A 22,313-nucleotide genomic window follows, 5' to 3' on the forward strand; every position below is an offset into this window, starting at 1 on the left:
TAAATAAATAAATAAAACTTAATAGTTTAACACTGAGGCCTAAAACAGTGCCTGACACATAGGAGGCTCTCAAAAATATCTGATGAATAAATAAACAAAGCAGAAGTAACAAATGCCATAATTCTTGAAACACTATTTTCACATTTCTTCCTTTTTTATTTTATTGGCAACGTAGAAATATGAAAGTGCTCCAAGCTCGTTCTAGCTGCTATTAAAAAAAAAAAAAAGAAGGATGGGAGGAAGAAATATGGAAGTAGCATGGGCCTCTCCTGCCTTCTGAGTAGCCCTGGATGTCAGTTCTAGTGGTCAAGAAGAGAAGGAGGGGCCTCAGGCCAGAGACCAGACAGTCCTGGCCAGGTCACTGCTAAATTTGAGTGTCTGTGGATGTGTGCGCTGGGGCAGGGCTAAAGCTGGGCCATGAGTCCAGGCCCCAGCTGACAGATGAGTGACAGAGTATGTCTGGAGAGCCCCAGTAACTGAATTTCTGGGCTGCATGTATGTCCGTCTCCTTCTTGTCAACCCTGCACTTTTGCTCAAGCCTTACCTGCACCTTATAGCAGCGTCTCTCTCTCTCGGGCTGAGAAGGAAAGGTTTTTACACCCCTGCTTTTGTCCAGGCACAGTGATGGTCAGGCCACGGCCAAGACATTCTAGGTCCAGGGCGTAGAATGAGCACATGGTACAGTTGCTCTGCAATCCCTCTGCTGCTCTGCCTGGAGGAGCTGATTTGTAAATGGAGGCACCTTCTCCTCACAGACACCAAGAGGCAAGACTAAGGGAAGGCTCCAGCTGTCAGGAGAAACTGGAAACCTGAAGACACCTGGGTTGGGCCTCTATTTATGGACTACAGGTAGACTTGGGACATCTGATGCTGGGGGAGACTAAGGGATGGCCGGCAGGCTGCCCGAATCCTCTGGCCTGAATGAGAAGTGGGAGGGGTGAAAGGATGGGGGTCTCCTTGAGGCAGAGGTGAGGCTGTGATGCTTTTGCAAGCTGCCTTCCTGAGGCCCCAGTTGCACAAGGCTCCATCACATGGGCCTCGCTGCCACCACAAACAGCCTGTTCTGTCACTTCCCTGCTGGGGCTGCGCTGAGCCACCTCTGGCTCTCCCACCTGTCAGCTGCCTTCCCCCTCCCACCCCCCCCACCCCCACCGTGTGAGATGCCACTCCTCCCAACACCTTTCTACACCCAGGCCTCAGGGCCAGGGCCTCTCTGGGCCCAGCTAGGTAAACCTGTCCCCGCCCTGCTGCCTGGCAACCCCTTTGTTGGGTCCCAGAGCAGACTGGTTTTCTCTGTGAAAACAGAGAAAGAGCAGGTCTGACAGGGGTGCTGATGGGGACTGCAGGTCCAGCTGAGACACATCTGTCCCTGGGGCAAGGCACATGGCACAAAGGCACCAACACAGGGTCTAAAACCCCAGACCTACCACTTGAAACTGTGTGAGCGTGTGGTGGTCACACACCTCCCCCAGGCTCAGTTTCCTGAAGAGAGTTGGTTCTGCTCTTGTGTCCGCCCTGGAATCTGGCTCAGGGCCAGTAACTGGGTCCCAGTTGGCAGAGCCAGCTTTGTCCCTGTTTGGATCCTCAGAGACTGACCCCCTCTGGAGCCTCCAGCATCTCAGCCCCTAGAGAGGTGTGGCAGCTTGGAGAATCCCCACCACACTCCAAGGTTAGTTGACCAGGTCTGGGCTGGACATAGAGCAGGCACTCAATAAGTGTTTGTTGAGGGATTGAATGGCACAAAACTAGAGCTGGGAAACGCCCTTTGCCACAGGCACGCCCTCCCCTGTGTGTTCTGCTGAACCAACCACGGCTCCAGGACCAGTTTTGTTGCCTCCTGACTGAGTCCTGTCCTTCCAGGATATGCTGGGCATCAGCCCCCAGCCCACCTCACAGGCTGTACTGTCTCAGACCTTCCTTTTGGATGTTGCCTGGTGCCCATGCCTGTGGCTGCCTCTACCCCTTGCAGAGCCCTTGACCCCTGCCTACAGTGGGCCTGCCTTAACTCCCTGTCACTCTAAGGCGCAGTTCTAGCCCTGCAGGAGACCCACGCTGCCCCCTCTATCCAGCTGTGCCCACCACAGACTGCTTCCTCTCCACCATTCGAGTTCCTGGCCTTGACCAGCAGGCTTCTAAGAGAGCAGACATCTGGGTGGAGCTGGACCAGACAGGTCACACTGAAATGAAGGCATCTAAAGTTCTCTCTGGCTGTTTGCTGAGGCCCTGGAGTGGTCAGTACTGTGGACTGGGCATTCCAGGAAGATGGAACTCCCAAGCAAGGCTTTAGATCCCCTTGGAATCCAGGCTCTTGGCTGGGGAGACGGGGCTGGGCCTTGAAGGAGAGATGTCTTGGCCTCCAGGAGCTGAGCCAGAATGGAGCAGACTCTACCTAGAGACCTGAGGCCACCAGGCCAGGGAGGAGCGGGTCAGCAGCTGAGCTCTCTGGCTAGCCCCCAGGGCCTCACGGGAAGGTATCCTCAAATATGGGCTGCCTCATCAGCTCCACCGCACCTCCCCACTCAGGGCTACATCAATTCTGGGCACTCTCCTGGATTGTCCTCCAGGTTGACCTCACCCTTAGCCTGAGGTTGTTCTTGTCCCAATCCTTCCCTCTTATTCTAGGCTCAGGCCCAACAGCATTCCCAAGGGTGTCTGCTCCTGCTGGAGCCTGCCAGCCCTGCCTGCCCATTGAGGAAAGAGCACAGTGACTTCTCCTGACCTTGGACAGACCTGGCTGCATACAGAAGGCCTGGGCATCGTGCCCTGAGCCACTGGGTGTGGCCTCGAAGGCAACAGAAGCAGAATTCTTCACCTTCCTAAGCCCCCTTATGCCCTCCCTGCGTCCCTCTGGGTCATGTCCAAAGGGTAAGCTAAGATAATAATTCCTGTAACTGTGGTGTTGTTAATAGCAAATGTTTTTTAATGCCTTGTGTGTGCCAAGTTCTCTGCGGGGTGCTGGAGAGACACAAATAAATAAGACAGACACAGCCTCTGCCCTTATGGATGATACCTGGACCCATCCCTGAGTACTCAATACGTACTTATGCAGAGAAGAAGAATGCATGAAATAAGCAGTCTGATTATTCCCAGCAGCACAGACACCTGATGGGTGTGCAGTAAATACGTGAAGGCCACTAGGGCAGGGGTGATGTGTGACCTGGCCACCACACATCCCCACCCTGAAGAGGGCTTCCAGACCCTGTGACTGCCTTATGACTTGGTATTCCAGCATGATAGGGTCTCAGCAATACAGCAATCTCCAAGGACCAAGGCCATTACAGGGGAAAAGGAAATCTGAGGGCTTCCTTAAAGAACTTTCGGGAGAGCTGGAGAAGCCATAGAATCTGCAGCTTGTCTGACCTGCTGCCTAGAACTCAGGGTACCTTATGAGTGGGTTTACAGCATGGCCCCTAAGAAGGGCCACCCCCAAACTCCAGGTACAGAACCTGACCTGGCATCTCCCCTGTGGGAAGGCACAGTCAGAAGTAAGCCTCTGATGTTCTCTTAAGTCAGGGATGTCAACATGAGCTCATGTGAGGGAATGACTGGCCTGGACCCGGATCCTGCATCATTCCAATCTGTCCAGATGCTGCCCAATGAAATGGGGAAGTTTATGGACCAGATTCTAAAAAATTCATCCAGAGTCCCCACCCCACCTCCACCTCCAAACTTGTGATAGAAGCCTTTGGAGATGGATTACACTGCCCAGAGACTCAGGGGCCAGGAAGGTCATATTCAGGAGGACCACTTCACATTCCCCCGGACAGAAGTAAACGGGTAATGAAGGAATTTCAGGATGGAGGCAAGGAGTGTAGGCAGTCTTTGGGATGTGAAATCGGGGGAAACAAGCAATGTATGAAGAGGAGTTTCAGGAATTCACTTTGGGATACATTGGGTGGAAGCTTCCACAGACCCTTGAGGATCCCTTCCCCCCAGAAAAGGTCTGCACTGTTTACATTCACTAGGACTCTTGGAGCCCAGCTGACAGGCCTCTGACCACAAGCCATGCTGTACACCAAACCCTCAGGACAGCCAGTGATAAGTGATGGCTGCCCCTTACTCTCTACCCCATTTAGTAGGGTCTAAGTCCTGGGGAGCTTCTGGCCTACAGACCTCAGAGAGACAATGCAGTGACCAGCTCTCCTGCTGGCCCTTCCACCTTTCTTCACTTGGGATCCAAGTCTGCAAGGGGCTGAGCAGAAACCTCCTCCACCACAAAGTGATGGAGAACAGCCCAATGGCTGGTGCTCTAATGGATTCAGACACCGCACCCCCCCCCACACACACACCCCAAATACACTCCCATATAAACACCGCTACCACACACCACTTGTTTCTCTCCCAGCTGAACAGATAGCAGCATCTTGCCTCCTACAGAGGCACCCACATTCTACTCTGAAGGGCCCCTCCCTTCCTTGGACTGCCCTAGGTTTGTGCTTCTCAAGCAGTTCTCCTCTTTGCGGGTTGTCAGAGACCCAGTGGACACATTTCATCCCACCACCTGTGAGGAGCCCAAGAGCAGGGTCCTTATCACAGCTTGACTAAAAGGACACATAAGGTTAAGGATTTGGGCTAAATGAGAGACCTCCACAGAGTCTGGAAAAGTAAAAGGTGTCTCCCTGATGTAGCCAGATAGAAGTGCCGAGAGAACCAGAGGGAGGTTGGTGGTGCCATGGCATCTGCATTGGCTGTTCAAGTACATCCCCGGAGGATAATGGTTGGGAATGGAGAGAAGACCTTGGAGAGAAAAGGGCCCAAAGTGAAGCGCTGCATATATTTCTTCCCTTTACACTGCACAGCCACGACCCCAGCCGCTCCAGCTGCTACTTTCTCAGGAGACCTGGGGAAACAAATCTCCTGGCAAAGGACGAGGGGAGGGGGCTGTGCAGACAGGGAGGTGGCCTGCGAGGAGCCTGCAAGCAGCAAGAGAAGGCCTGAATGTTCTGGGGAAGCAGGGACACCTTGCTTCCAGATACAAGTCAGGGACCACCTCTTCCAGGAAGCCTTACTGGCCTCCACAAACTAGTCTGAGGACCTTTCTGTGTCCACTCCCACGCTCGGCGCTGCCTGCTGTCGTTTTGGGTCTGCGTCCCCGGCCCAGTGCTGCGCAAGCCCCTGGTTCATAGGGTTCTTGGTTCAGAGGGCTCCTCACACGGCAGGATGGGCCGCAGGTGTGCCAGTCGGGCCCATGAGGAGGTATCTGAGCTGGGGCAGCCCCATCCCCCAAGTGGGCCCTCCATCCCTCCTCGGGCTGGAGCACCGCCCCTAAAAGCGACTTCAAAGGGCCGGTGTCGACAGCTGGGTTTGGGTCCGCGGCCTGCAGATCCAAGGCCCGAGCAGGATCCAGGCCGTCGGGGCCGTCCGAACGCGGGGATCTCTGAGAGCTGAGTGGGGGTGCCGGGTTGCCGGCAGCCGGGGCTGAGGGCGGGTCCTCAGAGCCCCCCGAAGTGGGAGGGTCGGGCTGGCCGCGGGGCCAATCCAGGCGCACAGGGAGCGGGGGCGGGGGCTGGGCCGAGTGGGGACAGGGGCGGGCGGGCCGGGGGCGGGCGCGGCGTCCAGGCGGCGGCGGCGGCTGCGGCGGCGGCGGCTCCTCCTCAGAGTCCGGCTCAGGCTCCGGCTGCGGCTCCAGCCCGCGATGCCCCATTCCGTGACCCTGCGCGGGCCTTCGCCCTGGGGCTTCCGCCTGGTGGGCGGCCGGGACTTCAGCGCGCCCCTCACCATCTCACGGGTGAGTCTGGCGGCTGCGTGGCGGCAGGGCGGTCCCATGTCTGAGACCGGGTTCTCGCGGTCCGCCCGGGACCCAGATCCCCTGTGTATCCGAGGCTTGAAGGCGGAGGGTTGGCCTGGGCGCCCCGCATGCTGTAGAGGCGGCTTCCAGGCAGAGGCAGGCAGCCCCAGCCGCCCTCCTCCCACGCTGGGCCTGTCTGCCCGATCCCGCGAAGAATCTCCCAAGAGTTCACGCACCCGCCTCCCCGCTGGCCTCATCTGGGGGAGCCACTGTGGACCCGGGAAGGACCCGCGGAGATGGGCCAGGGGTCTAGACAGCTCTACAGAGGCCCAGAAACTCTTCAGACTCACCCCCTGCCTGAAGATCTGGGGCAAAATGATTTAGAGCCCCCCTTCCCCTATCAGGGGTCCCTGCCGGCAGAGCTTGGTGACCCAGGGAGGTCTGGGGTCCTCGCTGAATCTGAGAAGACAGAGGTCCATCCACTTCCCACTTTGGGCGTGAGTCAGTCTCTCATTCACGACCTCAGTCACCCTAAGGGGAAGTGACCAGGAGGAATTTTGGCTTCCAGGGGAAAGGGAGACTTAACTGTGAGGTTGTGAGACCCCTCCCCACAAGATGACACAAAGCCGGGGGCCAGGACAGCCTCAGGCCCGTTCCTCAAGTTTCCCAGGGCCCTGCCTTGCCCACAGAGAAGGAAAAGGAGCCGGCACAGCCCTGGAGCGTGGCTAGTCTGAGGATAGAGGAGTGGAGGAGGTGACTCAGGCCCTGTTCGAGGGGGTGCCTGTCTAGGGGAGACAGGATCCTGGCCCAGCCTCGACATCCTCGTGTCTGGAGGGCCAAAAGAGAGGACTCAGACCCTGCCCTTGGGGGTCCCCAGCCTAAGGGACAGAAGAGGAGAGAACCCAGGCCCTGCCCTTGGCGGCTCTCAGTCTGGAAGGAGCAGAGGAGATAACCTGAAACCATCTGACGGCCATCCCTTGCTCCCACACAGGCTGATCTTGTCTTTGGGGGCCTGTGTCAGAGGCACAGAGAAGCACCTTCCCCCACCCTACTGCCACCTCTTGCCATGGGGGCTGGGCCAAGCCGGCTGGGCTTTAAGAGACTTCTGTCCAGTTCTTGGGAGGGGGTGGGCACCAGGTGGAGCGTGGAATCATGGAATCCCGTTTCTGGGGGCCAGGGTGACAGGCAGGCCCAGCTGTCCTAGGAGGCTTCCCACATCTGCCCTCACTGCCAGGTCCCTGGGGCCGAGTGAGGTGGGCCTTCAACACATCCCAGAGCCTTTCATCTCCTCTTTCCTATAGGATTCCTGCTGTGTGTGTGTGTGTGTGTGTGTGTGTGTGTACGCAAGCCTGTGTCTGCTTGTGTGTGTCATGCTGTGTGTCCGCTGAGGGGGCTGGTGGGGACACTAAGCGGGCTGGCCAGGCACCCTGGGCGTGAGGCCGCTGACAGGCTCAGTGGCGGCGGCTGACGGCTGCAGGCGGCAGGGAGCTGAGACATCTGTTGCCCACGCGGCTGCCTGCCCTCCGAGGAAAGGCCTCCACACGTCACAGCTGCGGCTGCGGCAGCAGCAGCAGCAACAGCCTTGTTTGGAGCTGACTGGGGATGCAGGCCCCAGGCAGGCAGTCTGGGAGAAGGTTTGCCAGGAAGAGCCTCCTTTGTCCCCCAAAGTCACGCGGCAGCAGCTCAGGCCCAAGGAGCCAGGATGGCTGAGGTTGGGTTTGGGTGGGATCTGGGGAGATTTACAGCGCTGGGGAGGCACAGGCCACAGCTTGCCTAGCAGGTACCTCTGGGGCAGGTCTACAGGGACTGAAGATATGTGGGAGTGTCTTCACCAGTGGGGCTCAAGATCCAGCCCCTCCCTTGCTTCCAGGACCTCCCCTACGCGGGACCTGGTAGGGAGGGACAGCCTCACACAGACAGGGAGGAGGCTATCGGCCCGGCAGGGCTGGGGGCTTGCAATCTCAGCCCATGAAGCCTCCAGGAGTCCCAAGAACATCATCCGGGGCTCCTTCCCCACAAGCTATAATGATGGCTGGCCTTGGCCAAGCATCCAGGGTGTGCCAGGCCCTACCCTAATGGGTGTTGGTAACAGCTCCCTCCAGTCCCTGTAGTGAGCACCACCTTATTTATGCCCAGCCTCCTGTGGGGGCTTTACATGCCCTGTTTTTCTCAAATAGTCCTTACAACAGCCTTTAGAAGTAAGGACTCCCTCTGGCCTTACATAGATGGAGACCCAGGCACAGAGAGGCTAATGTAATCAACCTAGAGAAGCAGAGTGGAGACAGGAGGAATCCAGGCAGTCTGCAGTTTGCTGTGACTGTGTAGGACAATGTGGCACCTGGTTCTGACTTGGACTCCCAGCCCACCACATCTAGGCTGGGTGGAGCAGGGGCTGGGAATGCAGCCACTACCGGTAAGGGGCTGATTCATGCCCTCACCGCCCACCTGACTTCACTGTTCCTGTCTCTGTTCCTTCTTTCTGTTTATCCTGTGCTTAGGAGCTAGACGGATCGGCCTGAATTCCACTCTGTCCTGTGACTTCCCGCTTAGAGCCCTCCATGGTTCCCAGCCACCCAGGAGAAATGCCAGCTTCCCACCCGGGTGTACAAGACTCTGCAATATCTGATCCCTGCCTCTTCTCTGACTTCATCTCTCCCACTCTCCCCTCACTCATGATGCTCCGGCCATACAACCTTCCTTCTTCTTTCTCTCCAGATATGCCATTATACATGCTGGTCCTTCTGCCTGGAACACTATCTCTCCCTCAGATACTCTCTTTTCCCTTACCCCCTTTGGAAGAAAAATGCAGGTGTTAAGAGCATAGTTTTAAATTTGGAATCAGGTGGCCTGGATTGAAATCTTGATTCAGTCTTTTATCAATTAACTATCCTTCTGTACTTCTCTGGACCTCCGTTTCCTGATCTAGGAAATGGGCTTGCCTTCAGGATTAATGAGATAATGCATGTAAAGGTGACTGGGAGAGTCACAATTTCTTGGCCTCACGCCCTCTCTGACCAGAACTCCCCTAGCTCAATAGAGCTGGCAGCATCCCAGCCACCACTGCTTTCAAGAAACTTCCTCCGCCCACAGAAGCCTGAATGTACCCCTTGTGCTGGCTGAGTCATCCTGCCGCAGTTAGCCGCCCCCTGAAGAAAGACTCCTCTCCAGTGTGGGGACTGGGGCATGGCATCCCTCCCCCAAGCTTCTTTCTCTTCATCTGTAAAATAGGGATGAGAACAGCCTCTGCCTCACCAGGTGGTTGAGGGGTTGCTGTGAGCTAGTTATGGGTAAAGCATAGAGCCCAGGCCCTGGCACAAGGCAGGTATCCATGAAGGGGAGGAGGCAGAGGATGGCCTTGAGGGGAGGGTGGGATGGTGCCAAGTGGGTGTCTCCCCCAGGATGACAGGCTTGCACAGGTGCCCAGGCCCTACAAGTGAACATTAATGATGGGCTAGTTGGCTGAGGGTGTCATGCTTCAGAAGAACGTTTCCTTGAGGCAGCCTACTTCAGGGCAGGTCAGCTTGGGCAGTGCCAACACCAGGCCTCCAGCCAAGGAGCTGCCAGCACCTCAGCTTTGTCCACTCACTACTGAGACCTGGCTGAACTGAGCCTAGCTGGGCTTCCAGGAGTTCCCACCAGTAGGAGCTCCCACCCAAAAGAATGGGGTCACTGGCAGCTTTTGAACCAGCTGGGCACTGGCTGGAGAGGCTGGGTAAGAAATATATTTCTAAAGGCTATGTTGGGGTCAAGGCAGGGTGAGGGGTGCTCCATGGCCTGGATTCCCCTGAGTTGCTTACTTAGATATCTCTGTGAGTCTAACTCCACCCCCCATTCTAGCCTTCTTCAGTTGACCAGCATTGTAAGAGCTTCCAGGTGTGAACACTGCTTGACCCCGAGGGGTCAATAGTGGCACTGAGGTAGCCTGAGTTCCTGTCCTGCAGGGGAAGTAGAGGTAGAATTCTGACCCCCAAACGCAGGCTGTCAGCTGGAACTGGATGGCCCTGGACTTGCTCAGGGAGGTGATGTTCAGACCTTCCCATTTTAATTATAATGAAGTATTAACATGAACAGTGTAGGGGGAAAAGGTGGTCATGGGAGCACACTGGGTAGTGAGATCCCAGAGAGGCTCCCAGAGGAAGTGGCCTCTATGCTGAGATCTGAAGGATGAGGATGTGGGAGTCAAAGGAATGTTCCAGGTGGAGGGAGCAGCTTTTGCAGAAGTGTAGAGGTGAGTGATATATGGTGCCTGTGAGCACCCCATAGACATTCACATGGTCTGGACAGAGTGTGGGTGTGGAGGTGGGGATGAGAGTTGAAATCAAGCAAGTAGGAAGGCAAGGTCACTAAGGGTTTGAATATTAGGTCAAGGTGTGTAGTCTGTCTGGTTGGGGCCTTGTCTGTGTAGGGTATCTGTGATATGTCCATGCTGTGTATGTATCTGTGAGCACCTATGTCTCCATGTGTCTCTGTGTCCCCTGCATGTCCTTGGGCACATACGCAGGCTGCAAGAACAACATCCATTTGTCCCAGCCCTGAGGAAGCCCTTCTCGTATATCCTCATGCCCTGCCAGGCCTCCAGGTGCTGGAGTTGGAGGTGTTTCCAGCAAGGCTGCAGCCAGGCTACATGGGGACCTCAACCAGCCACTCGGCTTGCCCATCCACAGGCCATGCTGGTAGCAGGCCACACTGGCTAGGTTCTGAGGTTGGAGGAGGCCTAGGGCACAGCTTGCAGCAAGACCATATCATGACTGTGCCCAGCCATCTGGCTTGTCTGCTCGCAGGTCCATGCTGGCAGCAAGGCTGCATTGGCTGCCCTGTGCCCAGGAGACCTGATCCAGGCCATCAATGGTGAGAGCACAGAGCTCATGACACACCTGGAGGCACAGAACCGCATCAAGGGCTGCCACGATCACCTCACACTGTCTGTGAGCAGGTATGCACAGGTGGGCTGGGCTGGGAGGATGGAAGGACGAGGTGGGCAGTTATGGGCAGCTGGCATTTTGGGTGAGCCCAGCTTCACACAGCCTCTCTGCCTCAGCTCCTGGGTGCCCCATCCAGGAACAGTCCCAAGGAGTAGCACTTTCATGGGGGCCTGGCAGATACTGTTTAGAGTTATAGCTTAAGAAGGGAAGAAATCCCCTTTTAACTTAGACTAGAAGTGTGTTGGGGCACTTATGGCAAGTGTTGCAGGCAACTGAAATAAGACCTTGAATAGCCTCTGGGGCATTTGTTTCATTCCTTTCCCCTCCCCTGAGTGACCAGCTTGATGACCATTTCAAAGTAGTTTCTTGTGCAACACCTCATTTAACCCTCATTTACCAACTTAAAAAAGGGCTACTATAGTCCCCACTTCACAGATGAGACAAGTGAGGCTCAGAAAGGTTAGATGGTGCTTAAAGTCACACAGAGAGGGAGTGGGGTAGCAAAATTTGATTTTGGGGCTCTCTCCTAAGACTACAGACCCTTAACTTGGCTGCTGACTACTCCTACCAGCCCCTCAGCTGCCCTGCCACAGCTGTCGCCACCGTGGCCCACACCTCTGCCCTGGTTAAATCTGGATTTGGGAAAAGTTCCCACTAAGGACTGTGTAATGCTTTGCAGCCAATCAAGAAGGGGAGGACAGGGGGTTACCAAGCCCATCTGTGCTCCATAAATGATCCTGGGATAGAAGGTCCACTGGGGGTGGGGGTGGGGGGACCCAGCCTTGCTCAGGTCCTGGGTCTTTACTCAGCTCTGAGAAGCAGTTGGCCTAAGCCTGGCTGAGTGGGATCTCCCCACTCCCCTGCCCACCTTGATCCACAGAAGTCGGGCATAACTTATCAGCTCTGCCGTGTTCACTGCTGAGGGGATTTCCATGACCCCCTGTGGAAGTACGTGGGCAAAGCCTCCCCAAACCACAACACAGCTAACCATGCCTCTGAGCTGGCAGGGTGGGAGGTAAGCCACTGGCTTGGAGCCTTTAAACATGGTGGAGAGGCCTGTGAGGTCAGCCCTGTTTGTGCTTGGCCCTGGCACACGGTGAGGATGCTCCATCTTTGGAGTTCAGCAAAGCTGGTCCTCATCCAGCCTCTGGAGCCTTAGGTGCCCAGATGACCTCTATGAGCCCGGGGTTTCCTTTCCCATTAACGGATCACATTCATCACCCTCCTCCAGACTGAGATACAGGCTGGATGGGGGAAATGTCAGCATTGCTCTGCCCATGAGTGACCTCTGAAGCTTCCCCACTTGGCTGGGATCCTGGCCCCTGACTCACCTCCAGCCTTGACTCTGTGTGGCTGAACAAGGGCAGCCCTAGTGGTAGTGGAGTAGTGGGGAGGAGTGCCTCAGAGGGGGCCTGAGTCAGGAGCTTCTCAGAGTGTATGATGTCAGCGGAGGGTGGTGGGGTGGAGGTCCCCCTCCTTCTTTCCTTCCTTCCTTCCTTCCTTCCCCAGTCCTTTGTTCCAAACCAGGCATGGATGGAGCCAGAGGTCCACTGACCTGTTCCACTCTGAGCATTTCAGCCCCAAAATGTCACTGGCCATGGAGCAGATGAGAGCACATTCTCTACTATTACAGAGCTGGGTTGAGAATTATGCTCATAATTTTACCCATAAAAGAGAGAGAGGGAGAGATAACTATGCTGTGCTCCAGAAAGTGATTTAATCTCTTGAGCCCATAACTTCCTCAACCAAAAATATGGACCATCTTGCGCTCTGGACATTGAGTGATGATGTACCAGGCCTGCTCAGTCAGAGTGAAAACCTGAGTCCTGCCCTGCAGCCCCCTCACACATGCAGACTCTGGGGGATCAAGACATGAGGGCCACCTTGACTTTCTGAGCCAACATTTCTTCTCCTGGACACTTGCCCACCTGCAAGCTTTCTGACTCTGCTCCCTATCTTGCCTGCTATGCCAGGACCTATGCCTGGCCCCCAACGACACTCCTCCCCGCCCCCACCACACACACCCACACAGCAAGGGCTCTGCAGTAAATCAGCCTGTTGAGCTGGCTGGAGTGAGCTACCCTGTGCTCTCACTCCCAGGGTTCTACCCCAGACCAGCTTCCCTATCTGCCCTCTTGTGTACAGAGAGCTCTAATCCCCCCACCAACTCCCCCACAGAATGAAAAGTGTATCAAAGGCCCAGCTTCCCCACTGGGCTTCTTTTGCTTTGAGCCCAAAGCCAGGCATCCAACAATCCAAGCAAAATCACACTTCCTGGGCATGTTCTATAGGTCCAGGACCTTTCTGACATCAACTCCAACACTGAGGCCACTGATAGAGTCCCTGTTGTCCATCACATGTGGCCCAAGGTACCTTTGCACAGCCTACCCTTTGCCTGTCATTTTGTTTAAAGAGCCCAGCCTGGGATGGGGGTTGACACATGATTAAGCCCTTCATTCTGATCTGATGCATTGGGCCACATTAATGGCTCTGGGTACTTTGTGCCCTTCGACCTTAGACGTCAGGCTTGTACTGCTCTTCTGGGCAGAACTTCAGGGAAGTTGAAGGCCAAATAGCCACACAAGATGTCCCAGCTTTATCCCAGAGGAGTTCTGAGTAGATAGAGGCCACAGTTAGAGCTGTGAGTTAGGGTACCCACTTGGGAGCCTGGTTGAGGGGGCTAGAGACAGGGACTATGGGGCTGGTGTTGCCCTGGGGCAGCAGAGCTCTAATACCAAAGGCCTGGAGTAGAGAGGTAGCCTCCAAGGGACTAAGGAATGGGCAGAGGCGAGGAAGTGCAGAGTGAGTATGGACCATAGGCATAGATAGATTATTAAAACCCTCAACTGAAGGGGGCAGAAGAGGCAGGGGCAAGCTGCTAGGTCAGTAATGAGACCTTGAGAAGCCTCAGGAGGCTTCGTGGGGTGAGTTGGAGGGCATTATTCCCCTTTGGTCTAACCAGCCTCACCTCATACCCACCTGCCAGTCCAGGGTCCATGCCCCTTCCTGGCCTGCCTTCTCACAGGGCTACTGAGTGACAGGGCTGGGCCTTAGGCACGTAGCCTCTCGGCCTGCCTGCCCTGCTTATGGCAGGTTTATGATGTTTTTCTCCCTCCTGAGTGGTGTTTGGCTTTTGGTTTCTATGGCGAAGCAGGAATTTCCTAATGGCCTGTTTCCCATCTGGGCTGGGCAGACTCAGTGATGACTCTGCCGGCAGCAGCAGCAGGAGGAAAGACACACCCCTCAGAGCCTCCATTCCACCTACCCCAGAGCCGACGGACGCCTGACCCCACACCCCACCAGAGGCTGTAGATGCCCAGAGGATGCGTGGATAGGCTTCTAGCTGGTCAATGTGTGAGGCCTGGCTTGCAGTGCTATAAGCTGGGCCTCTTTGAGCTGAGCTTCTGTAGGCCACGAAGAGGGTGGAAGATTAGGGAAGACACAGGGCTTCTCCTGCAGCCTCTCCAGGAACCAGACTAGAGAGGGATTGGGCAGCCGATGGGGACAGAAGCATATAGCCCTACCCCAGGAGGATGGCAGCTAGAGTTGTGGCTCATTGCCACAACAGTCACCATTGTGGTACAGGGGAAAGCACTGGAGTGGTGTTCTTCTACCTGCAGGGCACAGCCCAGAGCCCAGCCCCTCTTGATCCTGGCTCCCAGGCATGGTGGGCGTGGTAGGAGACATATCTGACCATCACAATTTCTGCCACAGGCCTGAGGGTAGGAGCTGGCCCAGTGCCCCTGATGACAGCAAGGCTCAGGCACACAGGATCCACATCGATCCTGAGATCCAGGTATGTACAGACACTGCCTGGCCTGGCCTGGCTCAGAGTGAGCCCAGGGCAGAGGGGCCAGCATGCAGGTTCACCTGCACTGAATGTCCTCACTGGGGCTCTCAGATACCCAAGACAGAGACTGAAGCAGAAGTTTTCTCTGGACCACATCCATACCCCATCCCATGTTCCTCAGATGATGAGCACCTGGTGTGGGCTCTGTCTCTACTCCGGGCAATCCTGGATTCTGGACCAAGGTGCCTATGATGTCCAGGATCTGGGCTAGGCCTTGGTTTGCGGCTATCACACAGCCAGCTGGAGTTCACTCTGGTGCTCAGTGATGCCAGACCAGAAAGAAGTCACTGTGCTTGCAGCGGGGGAGATTGGTGGCAGTCTCAGGCTGTGGAGTGACCTCAGGCTATGGGACACTCCTCTGAGTGCCCTATCCAAGCCTGAAGTTCTCTCCTGGCCATCCTGTGGTGCTTCTAGCAGAACTTAGGCTGCAGGCCTGTCTGCCCAGTCACCTTTCTGTGTGTGATAGAAGTCATATCTCTGGTCCTGTCCTCAAGAAGAGTGAGGGGGTCAGGCTATTCTAGGGCCTTGTTTTGCCATGGCATAAGGAGTAGCCAAGTGGGGATGACTGAGGTATCCAGAGCCATCTCTGGGCCACAGAGTTTGGGCAAGGAGACTGGGATGGTCTGTGATGGAGCCAGAACCATGGGACCCAGCATGTGGGACCATTGCCTCCTGGGCCTGCCTTTGTCCACCCTCTCAACATGAAAGAAAAGGGGCCAAGGCAGGGAGAGGCTTCACTGAACCAGAGGGAAGGATGTGCCCCAGCTTCTCCCTCACTATCTACCCCAATCCCATCTTGCTCTATTCCCTACCCTGCCTGGCTGGCATCCCTGGAGCCAGATGCTTACCACCTTCCAGGCAGTGCCCATTCTGGCAGGGGAAAGGCACTTAGAAGTTCTGGGCTAGGGGAAGCCAGGGGCCAAAGGAGCCCAGAGTAGTCACATGACTCAGACAAGGAGTCAAGGAGTGCTTCCTGGAGGAAGGGGTATTGAAGCCAAGACCTGAAGGGCTAGGAATGGTAAGGCAGGCAAAGGGGTATAGGGAGAGGAAGTGTGGCCCAGAGGTGAGGTCTTGCACCACAAGTTCAGAGAAAAGAAAGGTCCAGGGGAAGGGAGGACAAGATGGAAGGAGTGAGAGGACAGAGGTGAGAGATGAGGTGGTGGAGCAGGGCCACAGAAAGGCTCTTGGGCTTCTCTATCCTGGACCTCAGCTGTTCTTACAGGGATTCATGGCCACATCTGTGTCTCAGAAACTTGCTCTGATGGCCCCATGGACCCCAGACCTTAGGGGTAGGGGTACATGTTGCCATAGACAAATGAGCCAGGTTTGCCACAGGCCAGGCAGAGGGGAGCAGCAGGGTGTGGGCCTCAAGCTCATGCATGAGGCCCAGCCTCCCTCAGAGGTAGCAGTGCCAGGATGACGTGGTGGGGAGGGGGTTCAGTCTTCCAGGAGAGGCTCAGGGCCGGTGGGCCTGGGAGGCTGGCGACTGTAGAGCAGCTCCCCCTGCCCCCACACTTGTTCTCATTGACTCCCTTGAAGACCAGGCTGCCAGTGGCTCAGACTGGAGAAGGAGGGAGTTTCCACAAGCACCAGGGCAGCCCCTCAGCTGCTGCCCCACTTTTGTACTTAAAAGGTCATGGGCTCCATGGGTGGTGACAAAAACACCCCCACCCCACCCCTGCAGGGCTGAGTCCTTGCTAACACAGACACAGGGCCCATTGTCCCCATGCTGCTCCCACCCTCTGCCTGAGTGGGGGTGTTGGGGAGGGGGTGGAGCTAGCTGGAGCCATCGAGGAGGAGGAAACCACAGTTGGCCCTAGGACCAGCACAAGGTGCCCTGGCACACATCCCCGAGTGGGATGGGACAGGGCCAGCTGGAACTTCAGGCCCACCTTCCCTGTGGGGCGATAGGAGAACCTCCTTCTCTCAGGCCTCTTGTGGGAACACAGGAGGCACTTGGCCTAGCCCAGGGTGGAGGAAGGATAGTAACTTATTACTATCCTTCTGGGTTAGTAGGGTTTTCTGGAAGGAGTGGCAATTATGCTCAGAACCAGGTGATGGGGAGAAGCAAGTCAGGTGGAGCAGGCAGTCCTTGCACACTCAGCCTGTCCTCCCCAGACCAGCAGAGAGCTAGAACTGAGCCTCTAGGAGATGGCACCTGCTCATCTGGACTCAGCGCCTGCCTCCATCCAAGTTGAGTGTCCCAAAGCAGGTAGTTACCCCCATCCTGCTGAAAAATCCACTGAGGCTTCAACAACCAAGTGGGCAGCAGGCTGGTTCTCAGAGCAGAGGAGCATATGGTACGAGGTGTACCACCCACAGAGGGGGAAAATACAGGACTGGGGGCCCAGGAATTCCCCTGACAGCCATTCATCCAACAAGTATGTGCTTTATGCCAGGCACTATGCAATTGTCTTATTTCATCTCCACAAGGAACCTGATGTGGAAAGCATCACATTCCCCAGCTCATAGATAAAGAAACAGGTTCAGAGAGGTGAAGAGACTTGCCCAGTTAGGGGATAACCCTGGGACTCAAACTAAAACTGAGGTAGCCATGTGTGTCCTAGCCACAGAGTTCAGGCCTAGAGAGGCAGCTGCATGGGTGACCGTGGGAGGGGCAGTGGCTCTGATGGCCCTGCAGTGGACCCCTGCACCCTGCTGGGTAGGGGTGAGTGAGGGCCTCCTTCCTCCCAGTCCCAGTCCCTCCAACTCCTCCCTCCCACCAAAGCCTCTGCCCGGAGGCTGAGCCCCACCCCCACTGGCCACAGCCCATCTGGTCCCCATTAGAGGTCAGCCCTGCCTGCATGCTTGCCCGACAGACACACGTGTGAGAGCGCTCACGTTTCTCAGGGGCTTTTGTTGGGCCTGATGTGGATAGGGGTTTTCCTGTTGCTGCTGCATTGATGGGGGCCACCTGGGCAGCAAGACCCTCCTGTTTGTCTGTTGGGGTGGGGGAAATGGAGGGGGGCCCACCCAACTGCTGGTCTGCCTGTTCCCCAGGTTCCCACCCTACAAAAAGCAGGGGGTACTCAGGGCAGAACCCCACAGGCTCAACTATGCCTCAGAGCTTCCTAAGTCCAAACCAGGGTTCTTCCCACTACGATAGGCATCCTTTCCTGTCCACACTGGGCTCTCTGACCACACTGTAGAGCAGAGGAGGTTTACACGTCACTCCCAGGCTGAGGCTAAGACCTACCCCATGGCCTGGCCTCAGACATCATCCTAAAATCAGGCTGCTCTGGCTACTAGCCCAGTCTCAGCTATGGAGGCCACTATGGCCATTCCCAGGGTGACCAGTGCTGGCTCCAAGTCTCTGTAACCATGCGCATGTAGTTAGTTGTATGTAGGGAGATTGGTAGGTGCATATGTGTTGTCCTTATGTGTGTGTGTGTGTCTTTAAAGCATAATTGTGAGAGTGTGCATGCCCCTGTTTACATTGCTGTGGGGTGCTTGTGTGCACTTGCAAGCTGGGAACTGCACAGCTCTGGACTCTGCAGGGACAAAGATCCCCAGTCCCCACTCAGACCCCCACACACAGAGATACTGCCCTCTCCTCATGGCTGAGGGGGCAGGTTCAGGACACTCCCACCCAAAATGTTTCAGCCATGGGCACCAGGCTGGCTGTGGGGTAGTGGGGCAGAGAGCCTTGAGCCCTAGCCTGGTCTCTGCCCCTCATCTGCTGTGCCTGCAGAAGGCTACTCATTGTGGCCTGGAAAGCAGGAAATGGGGGACAGGTGTAGGCCCAGAAGGGGCTGACCTCACAATGGCACTCTTGAGCCTCAGCCTGCCCAAAGGGCCTTGGACACATGACAGTCAAGGACCCTTTCTGACTGTAGGACAGGAGTTACGTTTTTTGAGTTCCCAGCCATGGGCCTACCCAGTACCCACCACAGTTCAGGAAGGTGAGAAGGCTTGGCACCAGGGCCACCTCTGCCAGGAGGCCACATACTCTGCTGTAGCCACACAGACCTTAGGCTTCTTGGGATAGGCCTGCCCCAGTACTGTCCCTTCCTGAGTGGTGGTGGGCAGAACCACTGCAGGGCTCACAAGCCCAGGCTGAGTCTCAGCTGCCCAGGTTTTTGTGTCTGACTTTCCAAGGACGTTTCTCATTTCTGCAGGGGCATAACCAGTCCCCAGGCCCAGCCCTTCCCCAGAAATCCCTTCCCTGGCTGAGCACCACAGGCCAGAGATGCCGAAGCAGAGGAAGCCAACTGACATCCACCACCTGGCACAGCACAGCAGGGTGGGGGTGGGGTGAACAAGGAATGGCTGGAGGCCAGAGGGTCTCCCAGTGCCTTAGGCCTCTCTCTAATAGGACGGCAGCCCAACAACCAGCAGGCGGCCCTCAGGCACCGGGACTGGGCCAGAAGATGGCAGACCAAGCCTGGGATCTCCATATGGACAACCCCCTCGCTTTCCAGTCCCTCACAATGGCAGCAGCGAGGCCACCCTGCCAGCCCAGATGAGCACCCTGCATGTGTCTCCACCCCCCAGGTAGCACAGAGATGCCTTCGGTGCCATGCCCAGAACCCATCTTAACCCTTGATCCCTCAAATCTCACCCAGTCCCACTCTGACCCCTGACACTTGATCCTTGGGTCTTAGCTGGTTGCATTCTGACTCATAAGCCTTACCAGACCCCAAGTCCACAGGGTGAAGGCTGGAACTGCATCCCTTCCTCCTCTATTTCTTTCTCCCTCCCAGCGCTGACCCAGCCAGAGGCCTCCCGCGGAGCCGGGACTGCAGAGTCGACCTGGGCTCCGAGGTGTACAGGATGCTGCGGGAGCCAGCCGAGCCCGTGGCCGCGGAGCCCAAGCAGTCAGGCTCCTTCCGCTACTTGCAGGGCATGCTAGAGGCCGGCGAGGGCGGTAAGACGCCTGCCACCTGTCCCCATCTGCCTTCCCACTCCCTGCAGTGCCCAGGTTGCCCCCTAGCGACCCCACGTCCCGCCTCGCAGTCACCTGCCCTCTTCGGTCTCTGCGGCCCGGTCCCACGCCCTTGCTACAACCTTGCTACGCCCTGGCTTCCCGATTCCCTCTCCACCCCCTGTCGCTGCCCCTCACCCCACGCCCGCCAAACCCGTTCCCCAGTCTCGGGTGCCGATGGCCCGTCTGGCGCCCAACCAAACACCCCGCAGAAATGGAGTTCTGACCTCCTCACCCCGTTCATGCCACCTACGCTCCGGGTTTCAGGGGATTGGCCCGGGCCTGGCGGCCCCCGGAACCTCAAGCCCACGGCCAGCAAGCTGGGCGCTCCGCTGAGCGGCCTGCAGGGGCTGCCCGAGTGCACGCGCTGCGGCCACGGCATCGTGTGAGTAACCGCCCCCGCTGCCCCTCCCGGACCCTAGCCTTCCAGGGCCCTGGATGCGGGCGCAGTCGTGAACCCATCAGTCACTCGACGCTGTCCTGTCTCGTTCCCCCCATCAGGGGCACCATCGTCAAGGCACGGGACAAGCTCTACCATCCCGAGTGCTTCATGTGCAGTGACTGCGGCCTGAACCTCAAGCAGCGTGGTTACTTCTTTCTGGACGAGCGGCTCTACTGTGAGAGCCACGCCAAGGCGCGCGTGAAGCCGCCCGAGGGCTACGACGTGGTGGCGGTGTACCCCAATGCCAAGGTGGAACTCGTCTGAGCTGGGACCCTGCTCCCACGCCTGCTTCTTAAGGTCCCTGCTCGGCCGGTGTAAATATGTTTCACCCTGTCCCTCTAATAAAGCTCCTCTGCTCCACCTTGAACCTGTCACCTGGCCTGCCACCCTCCTGCGCAGGCCATGCATGGCTCCCGAGTACAGTAGTATCTGCTTAGGTGCCAGGCATGTCCTAGGCTCTGGGTGCAGTAGTGAGCAGGACGGGTACCATGCTGCCCTGAAGGGGGCCACAGCCTGGGTGGAAGGCAGACCTGAATCACAACGGGCCAGCTCTAGTAATACGAAGGTGAGGTCTGGGATGCTGCGTGCGGCGCGACGACAGGAGGTATGACCTGGGTGGGGTCAGGGAAAGTCTTAGCTGAGAACTAAGAGATGAGGGAGGCACAAACTCTGCACGGGGGAACTGTGTGTGCAAAGGTGAGCTGGGGGCGAGAAAGGCCTCTGTGGCCGTCATCGGCACTAGCGGGTTGGGGGTGGTGGTGGGGTGCTGGCAGCCTCAGGAGCGATCGCTCCCCTGGAGAGGGTGATTGAGTGTGGAGATCACCGGGGCCGCCGCGGGCCGTCTGCACTTCTGTTCCAGGTTTTTCTGGCATTTTCTGTTCCAGGTTTCTTCCACCCACGAGCACTTTATTCTCCTCCGAGACCCCCTTTTCTTCCCCTTCCTCTCTCCCCCACCAGGGGGCGCGCTTAAATTTCCAGACAGAGACCAGAAGGAAGGTTTAGAAAGAAAAGAACACTTGCCCAGGGCAGCTTTGCCCTCCAAGAGGCTCCCTCCTGTCTCTAAGTCAATTCCACCCCTCCTCGAAGTCCCGGCTTCCACCCCTCTCCTCAGAGTCCCGGCGTTTACCTCGTGGTGTGTTTGCCTTGGGCCTTTCATGCCCCGGCTGCACACATCGTCTGTGAATTGTGGCTGTTCACTCCCGAGGATGTGTCCTAGACTCCGGGTCGCGTGGATCTACCCTCTAGTTTACTTGCTCGGGAGAAGAAACTGACTCGTTTTATTTAGTGCCTATTTAGCGAGCCCAGAGTAACGTACATTTGTGCTGTTTTCAATTTTGTGCTATCGCAAATCACAAAAAAACTGTTATCAATTCACATTCATCATCAGCACGAGACCCATTTCCTTGTGCTCCTGCCAGCTCAGGATATTATGTTTCTTTTTTCATTTTTGCCAGTCTGTTAAGTAAAATGTCATATGCGTTTGTTTTAATTTGCATTTCTCTGATTACCAGTGATGAACATTCAGTTTTTGAGCATTTATGGTGTGTTTGCTGGGTGCCTAGCACTAAGGGAACAGAGTGGTCCTCACTCTCAAAAGAGCAGTTCTTGTGTAAGTTACCCCAAACCCTTCATGATTTTTTTCCAAGGCTTATTTAACTTCTTCTTAATGATTGGTAGGAACTTTTCCTAATTTTGTACGAATCTTTGTTACTGGATTCTGGTCATCTGATCTATTTCCCTGTTAATGTATAATTACTACTGTGTTGGAGTTTAATAGCCAATCTCTCCTCCTTGTTGGTCATTTACAAACCTGTCAAAGCTATTCCTCTACATTTCCAGTTGTCAGAAGTTGAGACTGCATGCCTCAGGCTCTGGAAAAGCAAACCTCTGAACTGTGACCAGGTTGCCCTGAATCTAGGGACTCACTTGGGAAGAACTGGCATTAGTCTTTTCCTCCAGAGAGGACTGTGATCTGCACTTCCTGTGCATTTATTCAGATGTTGTGTCTGTCTTCGCTTAAGTTTTTATTTTCCTTTCTTCTCATAGATCTTCTGTTCATGGTTAAATTTGTGCTAGAGATTCCCTCTTAAGGCTCCTTTTGCCTCCTCCCTTCCCTGAAGGAGCACAGTTCAGGGCAATGGGCAGGTGCTGATAGAGCAGTGAGGCAAGGTGGCGTCCTGGTCCTGCTGGTGACCCCAGATCATGTCTGGCCCTTGTCTCCTTTTGCTTCCCAAGGGGTCAGACTGTGTGCGTTGAGGCCCTGAGGGCGCCCCACCGTAGCGCTGCGCAGGTGTGCACGCACACACGCTCCCTGCAGCCACACCCAAATAGGGTGGGGTGGTGGAGGAGTCTGCCCTTGCCTGCCCACCCTGCCTCCGCTGACTTGGTCCCAGCCCCACCCAGTCATAGGTGGGAGAGGAGAGGATGACTGGCACCCAGGAAAGCAG

General features: G+C 56.2%; 1 protein-coding gene across 6 annotated transcripts, besides 12 other annotated features; it reads left to right on the plus strand.

Annotated features, from left to right (window-relative positions):
• On the plus strand, positions 5,597–21,355 carry PDLIM4 (PDZ and LIM domain 4). 6 transcript variants are annotated; one of them, NM_003687.4, is made up of 7 exons: positions 5,597–5,728; positions 10,510–10,661; positions 14,365–14,446; positions 18,816–18,994; positions 19,204–19,367; positions 19,692–19,809; positions 19,926–21,355. In NM_003687.4, exons 1-7 carry the CDS (start codon positions 5,636–5,638, stop codon positions 20,128–20,130), a joined length of 993 nt encoding a protein of 330 aa, NP_003678.2. In that variant the 5' UTR covers positions 5,597–5,635; the 3' UTR covers positions 20,131–21,355. The 6 variants fall into 6 exon arrangements, with proteins under 6 accessions (NP_003678.2, XP_047273804.1, NP_001124499.1 ...); XM_047417848.1 differs by having other exon boundaries at positions 19,204–19,809; NM_001131027.2 differs by lacking the exon at positions 19,692–19,809.
• Positions 6,151–6,940: an enhancer, noted in NCBI's record as "H3K27ac-H3K4me1 hESC enhancer chr5:131593943-131594732 (GRCh37/hg19 assembly coordinates)". NCBI's record gives its function as "activates a minimal SCP1, AML or CMV promoter by ChIP-STARR-seq in primed H9 embryonic stem cells {active_cell/tissue: H9 hESC(primed)}" and the evidence as "EXISTENCE:reporter gene assay evidence [ECO:0000049][PMID:30033119]".
• Positions 8,931–9,050: an enhancer, noted in NCBI's record as "active region_23063". NCBI's record gives its function as "activates an Ori minimal core promoter by ATAC-STARR-seq in GM12878 lymphoblastoid cells {active_cell/tissue: GM12878}" and the evidence as "EXISTENCE:reporter gene assay evidence [ECO:0000049][PMID:35858748]".
• Positions 13,038–14,312: an enhancer, noted in NCBI's record as "VISTA enhancer hs1449". NCBI's record gives its function as "enhancer in: other[5/6]" and the evidence as "EXISTENCE:transgenic organism evidence [ECO:0001131][PMID:17130149]".
• Positions 13,038–14,319: a biological region, named in NCBI's record as "VISTA enhancer hs1449".
• Positions 13,819–14,319: an enhancer, noted in NCBI's record as "H3K4me1 hESC enhancer chr5:131601611-131602111 (GRCh37/hg19 assembly coordinates)". NCBI's record gives its function as "activates a minimal SCP1, AML or CMV promoter by ChIP-STARR-seq in naive H9 embryonic stem cells {active_cell/tissue: H9 hESC(naive)}" and the evidence as "EXISTENCE:reporter gene assay evidence [ECO:0000049][PMID:30033119]".
• Positions 16,173–16,716: an enhancer, noted in NCBI's record as "H3K4me1 hESC enhancer chr5:131603965-131604508 (GRCh37/hg19 assembly coordinates)". NCBI's record gives its function as "activates a minimal SCP1, AML or CMV promoter by ChIP-STARR-seq in naive H9 embryonic stem cells {active_cell/tissue: H9 hESC(naive)}" and the evidence as "EXISTENCE:reporter gene assay evidence [ECO:0000049][PMID:30033119]".
• Positions 16,728–16,807: an enhancer, noted in NCBI's record as "active region_23064". NCBI's record gives its function as "activates an Ori minimal core promoter by ATAC-STARR-seq in GM12878 lymphoblastoid cells {active_cell/tissue: GM12878}" and the evidence as "EXISTENCE:reporter gene assay evidence [ECO:0000049][PMID:35858748]".
• Positions 16,898–17,007: an enhancer, noted in NCBI's record as "active region_23065". NCBI's record gives its function as "activates an Ori minimal core promoter by ATAC-STARR-seq in GM12878 lymphoblastoid cells {active_cell/tissue: GM12878}" and the evidence as "EXISTENCE:reporter gene assay evidence [ECO:0000049][PMID:35858748]".
• Positions 18,181–19,069: an enhancer, noted in NCBI's record as "H3K4me1 hESC enhancer chr5:131605973-131606861 (GRCh37/hg19 assembly coordinates)". NCBI's record gives its function as "activates a minimal SCP1, AML or CMV promoter by ChIP-STARR-seq in primed H9 embryonic stem cells {active_cell/tissue: H9 hESC(primed)}" and the evidence as "EXISTENCE:reporter gene assay evidence [ECO:0000049][PMID:30033119]".
• Positions 20,017–20,518: an enhancer, noted in NCBI's record as "H3K4me1 hESC enhancer chr5:131607809-131608310 (GRCh37/hg19 assembly coordinates)". NCBI's record gives its function as "activates a minimal SCP1, AML or CMV promoter by ChIP-STARR-seq in naive H9 embryonic stem cells {active_cell/tissue: H9 hESC(naive)}" and the evidence as "EXISTENCE:reporter gene assay evidence [ECO:0000049][PMID:30033119]".
• Positions 20,519–21,018: an enhancer, noted in NCBI's record as "H3K4me1 hESC enhancer chr5:131608311-131608810 (GRCh37/hg19 assembly coordinates)". NCBI's record gives its function as "activates a minimal SCP1, AML or CMV promoter by ChIP-STARR-seq in naive H9 embryonic stem cells {active_cell/tissue: H9 hESC(naive)}" and the evidence as "EXISTENCE:reporter gene assay evidence [ECO:0000049][PMID:30033119]".
• Positions 20,813–20,902: a silencer, noted in NCBI's record as "silent region_16314". NCBI's record gives its function as "represses an Ori minimal core promoter by ATAC-STARR-seq in GM12878 lymphoblastoid cells {active_cell/tissue: GM12878}" and the evidence as "EXISTENCE:reporter gene assay evidence [ECO:0000049][PMID:35858748]".

The sequence above is a fragment of the Homo sapiens genome, chromosome 5 (genome assembly GCF_000001405.40).
Source record: "Homo sapiens chromosome 5, GRCh38.p14 Primary Assembly".
Lineage (NCBI taxonomy): Eukaryota > Metazoa > Chordata > Mammalia > Primates > Hominidae > Homo > Homo sapiens.

Bases quoted from the DNA above. Each gene is read 5' to 3' on its own strand.
- PDLIM4 (XM_047417848.1), top strand. From the start codon at position 5,636: ATGCCCCATTCCGTGACCCTGCGCGGGCCTTCGCCCTGGGGCTTCCGC. The intron at 5,729-10,509 runs GTGAGTCTGGCG...GTCTGCTCGCAG, and splicing joins CGCCCCTCACCATCTCACGG to GTCCATGCTGGCAGCAAGGC. The intron at 18,995-19,203 runs GTAGCACAGAGA...TCTCCCTCCCAG, and splicing joins CATGTGTCTCCACCCCCCAG to CGCTGACCCAGCCAGAGGCC.